This window comes from Homo sapiens, chromosome 1, assembly GCF_000001405.40.
Source record: "Homo sapiens chromosome 1, GRCh38.p14 Primary Assembly".
Lineage (NCBI taxonomy): Eukaryota > Metazoa > Chordata > Mammalia > Primates > Hominidae > Homo > Homo sapiens.
In genome coordinates this window covers 39079001-39094549 of record NC_000001.11, presented here as the reverse complement: position 1 = coordinate 39094549, position 15549 = coordinate 39079001, and the positions used below count along the sequence as shown (strand labels likewise).

General features: G+C 51.1%; 1 protein-coding gene across 1 annotated transcript in view, besides 1 other annotated feature; it reads right to left on the bottom strand.

Annotated features, from left to right (window-relative positions):
* The window catches only part of MACF1 (microtubule actin crosslinking factor 1), a 402972-nt gene extending 392589 nt beyond the window's left edge, over positions 1–10383 (bottom strand). Inside the window, exon 1 of the mRNA NM_012090.5 lies at positions 10112–10383. Within this exon, the coding sequence (NP_036222.3) occupies positions 10112–10331 (220 nt within the window). The 5' untranslated portion in view covers positions 10332–10383. The remainder of the gene's footprint in view (positions 1–10111) is intronic.
* Positions 12858–13037: a silencer, noted in NCBI's record as "silent region_692". NCBI's record gives its function as "represses an Ori minimal core promoter by ATAC-STARR-seq in GM12878 lymphoblastoid cells {active_cell/tissue: GM12878}" and the evidence as "EXISTENCE:reporter gene assay evidence [ECO:0000049][PMID:35858748]".

Below are 15549 nucleotides of genomic sequence, written 5' to 3'. Positions count from 1 at the left end.
ACAGGGTTTCTCCGTGTTGAGGCTGGTATCGAACTCCTGACCTCAGGTGATCTGCCCGCCTGGGCCTCCCAAAGTGCTGGGATTACAGGCGTGAGCCACCATGCGCGGCCCGATTTCTTTCTTTTTTCTTTTCTTTTTTTTTTTTTGGAGACAAAATTTCACTCTTGTTGCCCAGGCTGAAGTGCAATGGCGTGAGCTCAGTTCACCACAACCTCCACCTCCCGCGTTCAAGCGATTCTCCTGCCTGGCTAATTTTGCTTTATTTTTTGTGGAGACGGGGTCTCACTATATTATCCAGGCTGGTCTCGAACTCCTGGCTTCAAGCGAGCCTCCCACCTTGGCCTCTCAAAATGCTGGGATTACAGGTATGAGTCACTGCACCCAGCCAGCACCCCATTATAGCCAGTCAGTCAGAAGCACAGGTAAAAAAAATCTGAGTCTTGTGATTGGCATTAGAAGTGGAGTGGGGTGGGGCTGGGCACCGTGGCTCACGCCTGTAATCCCAGCACTTTGGGAGGCCGAGGCGGTGGATCACCTGAGGTCAGGAGTTCGAGACCAGCCTGGCCAACGCGGTGAAACCCCATTTCTACTACAAATACAAAAATTAGCCAGGTGTGGTGGCGCACGCCTGTAATCCCAGCTACTCAGGAGGCTGAGACAGGAGAACCCGGGAGGCAGAGGTTGCAGTGAGCCAAGTTCACACCACTGCACTCCAGCCTAGGCAAAAGCGCAAGACTCCGTCTCAAAAAAAAGAAAAGAATCCCTTGGCCGGGCGTGATGGCTCACACCTGTAATCCCAGCACTTTGGGAGGCCAAGGTGGGCAGATCACAAGGTCAAGAGATTAAGACCATCCTGGCCAACATGATGAAACCCCGTGTCTACTAAAAATACAAAAATTAGCTGGGTGTGATGGCGTGTGCGTGTAGTCCCAGCTACTCGGGAGGCTGAAGCAGGAGAATCACTTGAACCCGGCAGGCAGAAGTTGCAGTGAGCCGAGATCGCACCACTGCACTCCAGCCTGGTGACAGGGCAAGACTCCGTCTCAAAAAAAAAAAAAAAAAAAAAATTAGCCAGGCGTGGTGGCGCGCACATGTTATTCCAGCTACTCAGAAGGCTGAGGCAGGAGAATCCCTTGAACCCAGGAGGCGGTGGTTGCAATGAGCAGAGATTGAGCCATTGCACTCCAGCCTGGGCAACAAGAGCAAGACATCATCTCAAAAAAAAAAAAAAAAAAAAAAAAAAAGAAGTGGAGTAGGGGAATGTCTTGGGGACTGAACCCTCAAACTGTGAGATCTGATGCTATTTCCAGGTAGACAGTGTTGTAATTGAACTGGAGGACACCCCGCTGGTGTCCACTGCAGAACTATTGTTTAACTTGCTGGCGGGGAGAAGTCCCCACATATCTTGGCGTCACAGAAGTCTTCTTGTGTTGATTGTTGAGTAAGAGAATGGAAAAACAGGAACTTGCCAGGCGCGGTGGCTCACACCTGTAATCCCAGCACTTTCGGAGGCCCAGGCGGGTGGATCATGAGGTCAGGAGTTCAAGGCCAGCCTGGCCAAGATGGTGAAACCCCGTCTCTACTAAAAAATACAAAAAAATTAGCTGGGCATGGTGTCAGGCACCTGTAATCCCAGTTACTCGGGGGGCTGAGGCAGAGAATTGCTTGAACCCGGGAGGCGGAGGTTGCAGTGAGCTGAGATGGCACCACAGCACTCTAGCCTGGGCAACAGAGAGAGACTCCATCTCAAAAAAAAAAGAAAGAAAAGAAAAAAGAAAAAACAGGAACTGTGTTTTTTCCACTGACAGCGGTGTATGAATGAAATAAAATTGGCCATGAATTAATTGATCATTCTTGTTTCTGGGTGATGGGGGTTCACTGTACTATTCTCACTACTTTACTATGTTTGAAATATCCTGAAAAGTGCCAGGGCTTTGGAGTTAGGCTGACCAGAAACTCAGCACTTGAATAACTGCAAAGGGCATATTGTACATGTTGAGGGCCAGGGGGCGCCATGCACATTAAGTAATGCTGAATCCCAGCTCCATTATTTGCTCAGTGTATAACCTCAGACAAGTTACTTAACATTTCTGTTGAGAATAGCAACTACTTCCCAGGGTTCTATGAGGATTAAATGATGTATGTAAAATGCCTGGCACCCATCTAGGACTCTACACAGTGACTTTACCAGCTATTATTCACCGGAGGAACCCAGCTGGCACCAGCTCTAAGGTGCTCCTAAACTGAGTCCAGAGTTCACTCCCCAAACCACCGTCTAGATTCTTTAGTTCCTAATTCTCACCAGCTGTTCTCTCTTCATTTTCCTTCTTTCCTTCCTACGAAAGCCAAAGAAAGGAGAGCAAGAATAGATGCAAACCACCGGGAAGTGCCCTGTCTCTTCAGGTTGTCCTGGCTAATTCCTATTTCTTTTCCCAGCCCCAGAAGAAATACTATCATTGCTCTAAGCCAGGGAGGGGCAGGAGTAGAAGTGCCTTCCCTTCCAGAACTTCCTCAAAACTCTTTGGACTTGCAACGTAGCTCAGTTCATGCTGCATTCTAACGGTCTTCATAGGCAGGAGCTGGGCTCTGAAGTGCAGTCTGAGCCTAGAGCAAAGTAGCCCTAGGGATATTTGTTAAATAAGCAAGTGTGTAATCAGTGAATAAGCAAGGGGATAAATCAGCACATTCATGAATCTATGAACAAGTGTATGAGTGAATGAATGATATTCATGAAAAGAGCTAATATGTATCAAGGGCAGCCGGGTGCAGTGGCTGTAATCCCAGCACTTTGGGAGGCCAAAGCAGGTGGATCACGAGGTCAAGAGATTGAGACCATCCTGGCCAACAAGGTGAAACCCACCATGGGTCTCTACTAAAAATACAAAAATCAGCTGGGCATGGTGGCGCACACCTGTAGTCCCAGCTACTCCAGAGGCTGAGGCAGGAGAATCGCTTGAATTTGGGAGGTGGAGGCTGCAGTAAGCCGAGATCGTGCCACTGCACTCCAGCCTGGTGACAGAGCGAGACTCTGTCTCAAAAAAAAAATTATCAAGGGCTGAATATATAGCAGGTACTGGGCCAAGCATCCTACTCCCAACTACCTTATTTAATCTACTGTGCAAGTCTCTGAGGTAGTGCTCTTGCTCCCCCATTTTAACTGTAAGAAACTGAGGCTCAATGAAGTGACTAACGTCCCAGGGTCACCCAATTAGCAAGTGAGCAATGAAACTAGGGCTCCAGCTGACTCCCAAAGCCAGCCCTTTGCGTGAATGAATGGAAGAGTGAGCACATGAAGAAATGTGTGAATGAGTGGGGGAGGGCATCCCAGAGACATCCACTGAGGCCCCAGGCAGAATCCTCCCCTGACCACAAGGCAAAAGCCTGGTATCTTCTGGGGTAGGGGTGGGGCACAGCTTAAGACAGAAGCTTCAGCTCATAATCATCACCCTTCAAGTTATAGGGGCTTCAGACCTTCCCTGTAGCAGTATCCCAGATCCAGGCAGAGATTCCAGCAAGGGACACCTATTCTGCTCCTACAGGAAAGCCAAGACAGGGCTTTCAGGCTGGCAGGCTTGTAACTGACATGTGGCAACAAGCAGTGGCCGGGCCAAATCATGGCAGGCCCTAGCCACAGCAACCAGAAAAAGGAGGCCAGCCAGGCTCCATATAACACTTTAGTGATGATGGATCTGTTCACAGACCTTTCCTCAAGGGGAGGACTGCTGAAATAAAGAACAAGTGCAGCCCTAGATCCTGCTGCAGTGTCAGCTACTCTGGTGGCATCTAACCCCTGAGCCCATGAGACTGAGAAATGATGGCCTTCCACAGTCCCCAAAGTAACCAGTCCTTCCTCTGCATTCCTACCTTCAGCCTAGGCTTCTCCCATAACAAACAGAAAGGCATGAGCCAAACTGCCATTCCATACCTTTCTCTATGTCACCTAGGATGTCATTAGAAAAGCATGATGGCATTAAGATGGCATTACACCTTGCAATCCAGAAACCACCTTCCCTCACCAACTGGGGTCCCACAGGGGCCCTGCACCTCAGAGAAAGGACAGATTGGCTGTCTTTTCTGCTGCCTGCACAGAATTCTGCCCACGTGGTCATGTTCCAGCCCACAGCTAATGTGACCCAGATTTACTTTCAAAGAGCTGGAGCTGAGCTGGTGGTGTGTAGCTACAATTCATTCTGCCCCACTTTCAGGGCACTCTCCTCTGCTCTTCTCTGCTGCTACTGAAACCAAGCTCCAGGACAGGGCCAGAGACTCTGAGGACACTGCCAGGAAGAAGTAGAGAAGCTGGGAAGGAGGAGGAGCCTTCCTGGATACAAAACTCGAAGAGCCTCAGGGCAAGGAAGTTTGGCAGCTGAGGAGTAAGGATTCCCAATGAGATTGTCTTTAGGGTTCCATTTCCCATCCCTGCATTCCCTTCTTCCCACTCACGGCTTGGCCAGAATAAGCCACTTCCATCTGCTCCCTGACAAAGGCCTAAAGAACAAAAGAAGGGGACAGAAATAAGAGGCTTGGGCTCCTTCTTTGCTGGCCTGGGAAACTGCTGGCCTCCTGAGTCTCCACTGCCTCATCTGGCTGCCAGGGAGGTTACAAGGAATGACACTGTTAAGTGCAGTAACGGGCCATGTGAACCTGTGTTTTTCCAGCACATTCTGATTCTCGTTCATTTCCCTTTTACACCCTTTATCACCATCTCCCTTTTATAGATAAGGAAACTGAGGATCCAAGAAGTGAGGTCATTTGCCTAAGTCTTGTAACTCCAGATTCAGTTATCTCCGCAGTGCCTGGCACATGGCAGGAGCTTAATCCATTTTTTTTATTGAATGAATGAATGAAGCAGAGAGGTGCCTGTGAGATGTCTTCTCAGAGCTCCCAACTTGGAGGAGAGACACATGGGCCCAGAGGAGTAAGCTCCAGCTTCTGACCAGGTAGTGCTCTCATGGCTCTCTGTCCCAGGGCAAAAAGGGTAAGATGGGACTCCTGACTACAGAGACCTCCAGAGCTGGTGAGGGAAATGAACCTGGGAACAATGAACGTGAATATAAAGCCAACTGAAACAAGGGCTGTGCAGAGAGACAATTGTCGTCTGACTAGAAGGCCACAATGGAGCAGATGTTGGGAATGATTATTTCAGCAGCATTTGCTGATACTCCTAGGAATGAATCCCATAGATGCTTTCTACTGGCACATAGCTTAACCCCTTTTTTAGTTGAAGGAATGAATAAATGAACAACCAGAGAGGGATCCAATCCTTAGCTCTGAGTCACTGCACTCCCCTTTTTCACAACACATACGGGGATATAATTATTTTTTCCCTTCTAACTACTTAAAAAAAAAATAGAGACAGGGTCTCATAGGCTGGTCTTGAACTCCTTAGCTCTAATGATTCTCCTGCCTCGGCCTCCCGAAATGCTGAGATTACAGGTGTGAGCCACTACACCCGGCCTTTTCTCCCTTCTGTCCTCTCCACTAGACTGAGTTCCATGCAGAAGGGACCACATCTTCAGTCATCTTTGAATATCAATGCCAAGGACAGGGAGGGTCCTGATTATGTGATGTTAGATGAATGAATACCTGATTGATGGGTAGATGGTGGAATCTTCCTGCACCCTACCGTGCCCTAGCCCAAACATGAGCCCTTCTTCAAAACATGTTACTGCCATCTGCAGGAAACTTGTAATAATAAATGTACACGTCTGCAATGACAACAAATGTGATGTGAATCGCACCCCCAAGGGTTGTGCAGTGTACAGCCATGTGACACCCTGTCTTGCACCCTGTTCTCAATATACTCCCCACAGGTCCCAAGGGATACATCATTTCTTCCTCTCTTTGTTTCTACCCTTTGGGGTTGTACTCCTTGCTACAGTAAGCTCCCTAGCGCCCCACTTCCTTGTTGCTCCCCACCATTAAGTAAGGATATTTCTACTGCTCTTCACTAAAGACAGAGAGCCAGAGGGGAAGAGGCAAATTTTCCAAGATCTTTGTCTCTCCCCTTTCCTGGTTCTATAGACCAGGATCCTGAGGCCTTTCCCGGAAGTGACCAAGTCTCTCAGGTGAGTGTGGAGATTTAGATTGTCAACTACAGAAGATTCAGACTGGGCTGGTTGCCAGGTATTGCCTAAGGAAATAGAAATAACAATGTACAGGGCCGGGTGCGGTGGCTCACGCCTGTAATCCCAGCATTTTGGAAGGCCAAGGCAAGCGGATCACCTGAGGTCAGGAGTTCAAGACCAGCCTGACCAACATGGTGAAACCCCATCTCGGGCCAGGCGCGGTGGCTCACACCTATAATCCCAGGACTTTGGGAGGCTGAGGCGGGCGGATCACGAGGTCAGGAGATGGAGACCATCCTGGCTAACATGGTGAAACCCCGTCTCTACTAAAAATACAAAAAATTAGCCGGGCAAGGTGGCAGGCGCCTGTAGTCCCAGCTGCTCAGGAGGCTGAGGCAGGAGAATGGCGTGAAACCAGGGGGCGGAGCCTGCAGTGAGCTGAGATCCAGCAGAGATTGCACCACTGCACTCCAGCCTGGGCGACAGCGAGACTCCATCTCCAAAAAAAAAAAGAAACCCCATCTCTACTAAACATACAAAAATTAGCTGGGCATGGTGGCACACGCCTGTAATCCCTGCTACTCGGGAGGCTGAGGCAGAAGAATTGCTTGAACCCGGGAGGTGAAGGTTGCAGTGAGTTGAGATTGCGCCACTGCACTCCAGCCTGGGTGGCAAAGTGAGACTCTGTCTCAAAAAAAAAAAGAAATAGCAATGTACTTGGAGTTAGAAGATCTGTGTTTACCAGTCCTGTGTAACTATAGGCAAGTCCCCTAAACCCTCTGAGCCTCGGATGCTAACATATGTCCTGCCTAACAGAGTTATTTTGAAATCTCTGTGTAAACCATAAAGCTGATAAACCGAAACAAGACACTTTCATTAGTGACTCTTGTTACATTTGAATGTGGCTGGGCTTAGGGAGTTGAGAATATGGCTGGCAAAGAAGAAGGAGAAACAAATGTAGGGAAAGGATGAGAACAGGAAGATGGGAAGAAGAACAAGGTTCAGCACCCTAAAACCTGTTTGGCTTTGTAGACTGAAATCAGCAGGTTTCTCAGCCCCGACATCCCTCTCTACTCTGACATGTGTGACCACCAGGCTTGCCCCATCAGGCCTCTCAAGCAAGGGCGAGGCCCTAAGACCAGCTCAGGACACGGAGTGGGCCAGGGAAAGGGAAGATCTCTATTTGGTGAGAGTGATTCAGACACCCCCACTTGGCTTCATAAGCAAGATCCAGGGGGAGGAGAAAATTGCACAGGCCACAGCTGGCTTCCAGCGTAAGACTGACTTCATTTCCTCCCACAATTAAAGTTCTGCTTCAGAGAGCTTCAGAGCATCCAGGGTCTCCCAGACATGCCCCCCTGCACCTCCTGTGAAGGAGTCCCTGCAGAGCTAAGGCTGCCTTTTCCATTACTCTGGTGGAGCCCCCACAGCATTCTAAAATCACATGAAGATTTCAGCAAGACCCTAAAGTCGCAGTCCCGCCTCGTCTCTGCTGCCTCTCTCCTCTCCTGCTAAAGAAACACGCCCAACTGCAGTGCACAAGTTATTTTTAACCATGGCAGTCTCCCCATTTTCAGCCTCACTGGCCCAGCCCCCTCCTCAAAAGAGGCATTCAGCAGTGTCAGGATGCAAAGGAGATCAGCATCTATGCCAGAAACACAGCACAGCGCAGCACCCACCATCCCTTTGCTCAGTTGACCCAGCAGGGTCCTTAGGAGCCTTGCCTGTGTAAAATTAAGCCTCCTTGAGTCCACTCCACTTCTATTCTAGACTCCAAATCTGAAGCAGCAAGCAAATCATCCCGTGGGCCTCCTCAGAGAAGACTGGAAGTGGAAATCATCACAAAACGATCTAAGTATGCATGAGTGATGAAGGATGGAGGCAGAGGGCATAAAGAAGGAAGAATGAGACAGCCCACTCTCTCTTCAGGAGAAAGAGGTTTATGAGTCATCAGGGCCCTGAGTTATGGCCCTTCAAGACTGGGGACAAGTAAACCCCTTCCTGCACCCTAGGGACAGCTCTAAAATTCTGTTACTGGCTGATGCTGCAGGCCCAAAGGTTTTGAGAAGGACTTCCTCCAAGGACTCCTCGTTGCCCACTAGAAAGAGCTCCAACTCTCCCTCCTGCCTTCCAGGCCCCACTGTTGTCTCCTCACTTGGAGCTCATTCCCTCTAAAGTCCTTTCCTGATTACCTGAGCCCACATAAGCCTTTCTCTAACTTTCCGTTATAGCTCAGTGCCTGTTTCTGGATCACAGTCTGTCACATCACATAATATCCTCAAAACACTCATTCAGCATTCATTCAGTCATTCAATACCAATTGATCTCTAGCATGTACAAGGCCCCGTGCAGCCCTCGGGGGCTCAAAACATAAGACACATCCCAAATTGCTCACTCTTCTAAGGGAGTGATGGGCACCCTGTGGGTTAACTGCTACATTGAACAAGGGAACATGGAGGAGAGAAAAGTATGACTGTGAGAGCGGAGGAGGAAGCTTTGGATACCACTGGGGGCATTAAGGACAGAGGAGGCGGCACTTAAAAGAGGAGGAGGGTTTACCAGCATCTTGCAGAGAAGAAAATTAAAGTGTGGTGGTTTCATCCTGCAAGATGCATCCCTCTGGGGGTCCAGTTACAGTGTACTGTGGCAGGGTGATTGGGGGTAGAGGTGGTGGCAGGTGAAGCTGAAGAGGTAAGTAATTTTGATGGGTCTTTATGCTGAAGCCTTGATTCCACAGGCAATGAGGGGCCAAAGGTGGTTTTTAAGCAGCCGAGTAATAGAATTAGGTTTGTATTTTATTTTATTTTTTATTGTATTTTTAATGAAGTGTTGTACAGGCAGCACTTCATTTCATAAAATAGAATATGTGTTCTTGAGGTTTGTATTTTAGAAAAAAATACTCTATTAGTCACGTGGAGGATGGTGGCAAGACTAAGAGAGGAAGAGCTATTAAATGCTCATTGGAAGGTCCAGGTGAGAGATGACACAGTGGAGGGGGTGGCTGTATTATTTGAGGGACACAAAGAAGGTAGCAGTACAGGCCTTGGTGACGGCTTGAAAGCGGGTGATGTCACTGAATTAGCTGCAGGCACTGCTCTATCTTCCTATCCGTACTGTAACACCAACACCCTGCTGAGATGCTGAGCACACTTCAGGGAGGCAGCTGTGGATGCCTTCAGTGGAAGCATCTCCTTTATTGAGCCAAAAACTGTGCTAAGGGCTTTCCACACATTATTTCATCTAACCTTCAAGGCATCCCTGCACAGTGGGCATTCTTAAGACAAGGAAAGTGACACTGAGAAAGAATAAGGGACTTGCCCAGAGTCACACAGTTGGTCAGTGGCAGGGCCACGATCCAGCACCCTACCCTCTCTGATTCCAAAGCTTACACTCATAACTACAGCACTGTGCTGCTGCTTGGCAAAGAGCTGGGCACATCCCACCACAGGAGGTAGCCCCAGCCTTCACGTCGTGTGAAAGGTCAGCATGTAGAACACTTTTGGAAGGCGATACAAGTAAAACTGTACTCTCCAAGGATTTCATTATAAGGAAATAACAGAAGTCAAATCATTCTTAACCATGTTCTCAGCAGCATTGTCTAATATAGCCAAAAAGTGAAAAAAGAGTAGGATTTAGAAAGTCATGAAATAGACAGCTTTTAGAAATGGTAACCATAAAGTCTAAAGTGCAATATGGAAAATCTTTTTAATATAAGATTAACTGAAAAGAGTCAGATGCAGAATGGTACCTAAGCCATGAAGGCAACTGCATAGAAAATATAACTGAATGGGGACAAAGACAGGGAAGAAGGTGCAGAAATGAAAACAGGTCTCACGTGAGCAAGGGGTGGCAGATTTTCCTCTTTTGAGTTTTTCGTTAATGTTATTTCAACGTCTTTCCAAGAATAATAATAACAAATCAGATGATGGCTGCTTTGTCAGAGGCCCTGGTGAGGACCCCTCGGCTCCCCACACAGCTGCTGTGCCCTGGCCCATTCCTCCCTCACACCCACAGCGTCCAGCCTGCTGGGGGACCTCTCTTACCAGCGACTCTGACCACAGCACGCTCTGCAGGGTCCAGCACCGAATCCTGGCTTTTCCGCTTTTTCTGCTCATGCAGTGGCAGGTTCCAGGGCAAGGTGTCCCCTGGGGGACAGGGAGACAGGCTCCCCGACCGCTCGCTCCTGTAAGATCGCTCACTCCGACAAGACCGCTCACTCCGACATGACCGCTCACTGAGCGTCTCTTCATCTGAGGAAGACATGGCCCAGGCGGGGGCTGCTGCAGGAGGGCCTGGGAGCCCAGGGAGAAGTGATCTGAAGGAGAAAGGGGTGAATGTGAGCAGACAAAAGGGGTCCCATAAGGAACACTGGGACTTGGGAAGCAGAGGTTCTAGTCCTGCCTATCTGTACCTCAGTTTCTTCACCTGGAAAATGGGATGAAGACAATACATCCCAAAACTAATTCATGAGGTTTGGGGGATATTATATGTGATGATGTCTATAAATCTTAAAGCATCATGTAAAAGTTAGCTCCTATTCCTAGGAACTATTATTATTGCTATTTGGCACATTTGGAGGATTAAGCTCACAGATCCCATGACAGAATGCTGTGGGTTTAAATTCTACTCCATTTACTAGCTGTGTGACCCTGGAGAAGCCATTTAATCTCTCTGAGCCTCAGCACCCTCATCTACAAAATGGGGATGACGACAGTTAGAACCTAGCCCTATAGGGTTGGGTTCTGCATGTAAAGTGCTTAATCCTGCATGTAAAGTGCTTAATAGTGCCCACTGCCCAGTAAGCACTCAATACACAGTATCTATTATTATATTCCTGTTCTACTTACCTCCCAGGAATGCTATAAGGATAAAGTGGGGCAACAGATGGGAAGTATTTTCAAAAAGCTAAAGCATGATCTCAATAGCAGGCAAGAAGCAAACCATGGGCTAGAATAGGCAGAAATTCTCTGGTTTCTCCCACTCTGTCTCCAGCAGATATATTAGAAAATGTACCAGACTTGAAGTAAGACAGACCTGGGTATATATTCTGGTTTGGCCACTTACAATTGCTGTGATCTTGGGCAAGTCACTTCACCTCTCTGAGACTCAGTTTCTTCATCTGCAAAATGGGGGTAATATTCCACCTCAGAGGATGTTTTAAGAACATTGTCAAATGCAAATGTAGTACTGGTTGATGCCATGCATGGCACCCAGCAGGCATTAGATTAAATGTTCATTTGCTTATTCCAAGGGCTGTTGTGGGAATACGTGGCACAGCATGAGGATGGGGTGGGGGGATGGGACAGAAAGCCCATTTTTTCTGGTCAGTTTAGCTAGTGGAGAGAGTTGAGTGAAAATACAATTGCTCTAAGGCCAGCTGGGCTCCACCAGCCAGACTGGGCAGCCTTCCCTCAGCCAGGTCAAGCTCACTTCCCAGAACCATCTGCTACACATGGCCCACCACCCCAAGGGCTCCATCAGAGCACAAATGGTATGTGCCTTCAGCTACCAGCCTTCCTACAGGCCGCAAAGCCAACCTGGGTACCCAGCTTTGACTTTGGCTGTAGGGTCCAGGGAGGGCAAGAGCTGTTGATTTTCCCTTATAGGGAATACCGGCTCACAGGGCTGTGTAGAGACAGCGAGGTAGCCTACATGGCTGGACACAATGGGTCTGTGGCCACAGCTCCTCCAGGATTCTCGAATCTGAGCCTAGAGGCAGCAAGGGGCAGAGACAGCCTCCTGGGTCATTGGCAGATCCCCACCATAGGCACAGAATTCAAAGAGATAACAAAAGAAACATAAAAATGGTGTAGGAGGCCTGTAGGCAGCCTCGGGCAGCAGAGCCTCCCTGCCAGGGCACCCCTTGTGCCAGCAGCGTGTGAGCCCTCTTCCCAAAGAACATCTAGAAGGGATCTAGCCACAGGAAGCAGAAAGGAAAGGACCCAGGTCCTGGCACAGCTTTGCCCTTTATCTTAGCACTTACCCCTCCTCCCATTACCTTCTAGTGCCAGGGCAGGTGCTGAAGTGACAGCCTCAACCTCTGGGAAACTCAGGCCAAGCTTCCATCCCTACCCTCAGCTCGGGGGCAGGAAAAATGCCCCTCCTCTCAGACCACCTGCTTCATCCCAGAACCGCCCATTCCTCTCCAAGACGCCCATTTCACTACAAAGGCCGGCTCTCCCAAGGCCTCCTCCCGGAGAAAGCGTCCCTTCTGGGCTCTACCCCGTCAATCTCCGGCCCCTCACAAACACTTGTTTGACCTCCGGGCTCCCGCCCGACCCTCGGCCACCTGGGTCATTCCATCAATCCCCGAGACTCACAGGAGTGCCCGCCCAAGCCCCAGCCCACCCCCTAGGCCGCAGGCCGGTCGGCGACAGGCACCTCACCAGGTGCTCTCACCCCCTGCGACCCTCCCCACCTGGCCCCCACCCGTTTCCCCACGGCGGAGGAGGGGCGCGCCCGCGAGCCTGGGGCGGCGCGGGTGGGTCCGCGCGCCCGCCAAGCGTGGCTGACAAAGAGCGGGGACGCGCGACCGAGGACCGACAGGGCGCTGGGGCCAGCGGCCGAGCCCTGGGGCCGGGAAGCGACCTTCCCCGCCCAGCCCTGCCCGCTCCCTAAGGTCCGGCGCCCGGCCCCTGCAGGGCTCCGTGTCCCATTTTCCCGGGGAACACGCCTCCCTTCCACCCTGGCAGCGCCCGCAGAGGGGAAACCCCAGCTCCGAGTCTTCGCCGCTCCCCGGCGCCGGCCGCGGGGGCTGCAGGTGCGAGGCCCGCACTGCCGCTGTGCCCGCGCCTGTCAAGCCGCCTGTCCGCGGCCGCCGGCTGCCGGGAGCTGGGGCGCGGCCGCCGGGGGCGATCAATCACCGCTCCCCAGCCGCCGCTGCGCATCCCGCGCAGCGGGCAGGGCGCCTGCATCCAACCCCGCGCCCCGCGCCTTACCCTGGGAGCCGAAGGAGGAAGAAGACGGGCCCGTGGCGGCAGCGAAGGCGGCGGCGGCCGGGCGCGCCCCAGGCTGGAGCGCAGTCGAGGGGAGCGTGGCGGAGCCGAGGGGAGCGGCTCCCACAATGGCCGAGCTCGCGGCGCCGAGCCCCCCGCCCCCCGCGCCCTAGCGGCAGCGGCTGAAGCAGAGCCGGCGCAGCCGCCCAACCCGCTCCCCCACTCCCAGCGCCGACGCCGCCCCCCGCCCCCCGATGCGCGCTCCCCCCGCCCTGCACCCCACCCCTGCGCTTCCGCCCGCCCCGCGCGCCCCTGCCAGTCCGTCGCCCGGCGCCCCCTCCTCACTGACCCCGCGTCCTCTGGCCGCCCCCAGGCCCTCCCTCGGTCCCTCCCCTCTGCAACTCCTCCCTAGTGGCCTCCGGTGTCCCCCGCAGGCCAACCACACCCCCAAATTCTCCGCCCTCTGCTCTGCGACCTCTCCGCCCCGGCCCCGCGGCCGCTAGCTGACCCTGGGCCAGCTCAGCCGACCCGCCCCCTTGGAGCTCCTCACCGCCCCCCAGTCGCTCTCTCAGGCTGCCGGGCTGTCCTTCTGCCTGGCCCCTGGTTCTCAAACCACCCTTTTCCATGCCCACCCCTCTTTCGCCCGTTTCCCTTAAACCCACATTCCGTCCCCGCCCTTGGCGCTCTTGCTCCAGCTCTCGGAGAGCGTCCTGCAGATCCTGCGGGTCCTATAGGCCCACCTATCTGCTGGGCTTCTGGAACTGAATGAAGGAGGGACCCAAAGAAGGCCTCATCTTCCCCGCAGGGTAAAGAGCAGAAAAGAACCAGGCCCCAATGAGGGAACTCAGTCTCTTTAGACAGCGCTAGCCCCAAGTGGAGCCTTGGGAGATGCTTTATCCACCGAGGAAGCATTTATTGAGCTCCTTCTGCACACACGACCTAATGATGCACAAAACGAGGCAGGAGTCCCTTCTATCCTCTCCTAGGACAGATACGTGAATGTTTCCAGAGAAGTAATGTGTCTAAAGTCATTCCACTTAGTAACCTGCGTAGCAACAGCTACCATATGGGCGTGTCTCCTGGTGACTGTGCAAGGCGCTTTACCTGGATCATGCCAAATCCAGTCCTCACAACCCTGTTCATTCATTCATTCATTCATTCATTCATTCAACAAATACGTGCTGAACATCTACCCGGTGTCAGGCCCCATGCAGGGTACTGAAGATACAGTGTGAGCAAGATGCATTTCATCCCTGCCTGTTGACCATGGGCTCACAGTTCAGCAGGAAAGATGGATGCATCCCATGAGGCAGCATAATGATCTCTAATGTATAGATGTAGAACTGAGATGATATACTCAAAGTCATGTAGGGAGAAAGCGGATGGTCCCAGGACTGGACCCCTGTCTTCAGATTCACATTCTGTTCTTTTTCACCATAACGATTGGGAGAAAAAAAAATGTGTTGGAGCAATTTACAAAGGCCCTTGAGCTAAGGAATTTGGCTTAAATTGGCTGGGCGTGGTGGCTCACGCCTGTAATCCCAGCACTTTGGAAGGCCGAGGCTGGCGGATCACCTGAGGTCGGGAGTTCGAGATCAGCCTGACCAACATGGAGAAACCCTGTCTCTACTAAAAATACAAAAAAATTAGCCAGGCGTTGTGGCGCATGCCTGTAATCCCAGCTAGTCAGGAGGCTGAGGCAGGAGAATCACTTGAACCCGGGAGGCGGATGTTGTGATGAGCCGAGATTGTGCCATTGCACTCCAGCCTGGGCAACAAGAGTGAAAATTCCATCAAGAAAGAGAGGAAGGAAGGAAGGAAGGAAGGAAGGAAGGAAGGAAGGAAAAGAAATTTGACCTAAATTTAATTATTATAAGCAGCCAAGAAAGGTGTCAAAGTAACAGCAAAAGTAACCCAAGGACAGGTACCAGATGGGTGTGGATGGTTACGCTAGGAGGCTACTGTACTAGTCCCAGCCAAAGGTAATGAGGCTGTCAACTGGAGCAGGGACGATAGAGATGGGAAGGGATGTTTTCCACTCACTGAAACTTGCTAAGGTTCTGTGTTTGCAGGCACTGTTTCATATTAAGGGCAAGCAACCACCATTTACAAAACTCCTACTAAGTGCTAGGCAATGTCCTGGGCGTTTTGTGTATATTATCTCATTAAGTCTTCCCAAAAACCCTGTACAGTAGTTACCTTTATTATTCTCATTTTACAAATAAGGAAACAGAGACTTCAAGAGGTTAAATGACTTGCTGAAGTCCACAAAGCAAACTAGTGTTGGAGCTGGGGTTCTCATCCAAGCCTGTCTCCAAATCTCATGCTTTAACCACTGCTCTCTACTGTCTGAAGCGAAGGCAAAGAATCTAGGTCCTATGACTCAGCCAAGGGTTCTTTTCCTTAGACCACAGGTACCTCTGGGGCTTCCGGAGAAAGATCAGGAGACCACAGTTGTAACCTGCCTAAGTGCAGGTCCCTCTGTGGGATATCTTCTCCACAGAAGCCTGCAGAGGCCTCAGCACCAGAGAATTCTACAGCCTGAT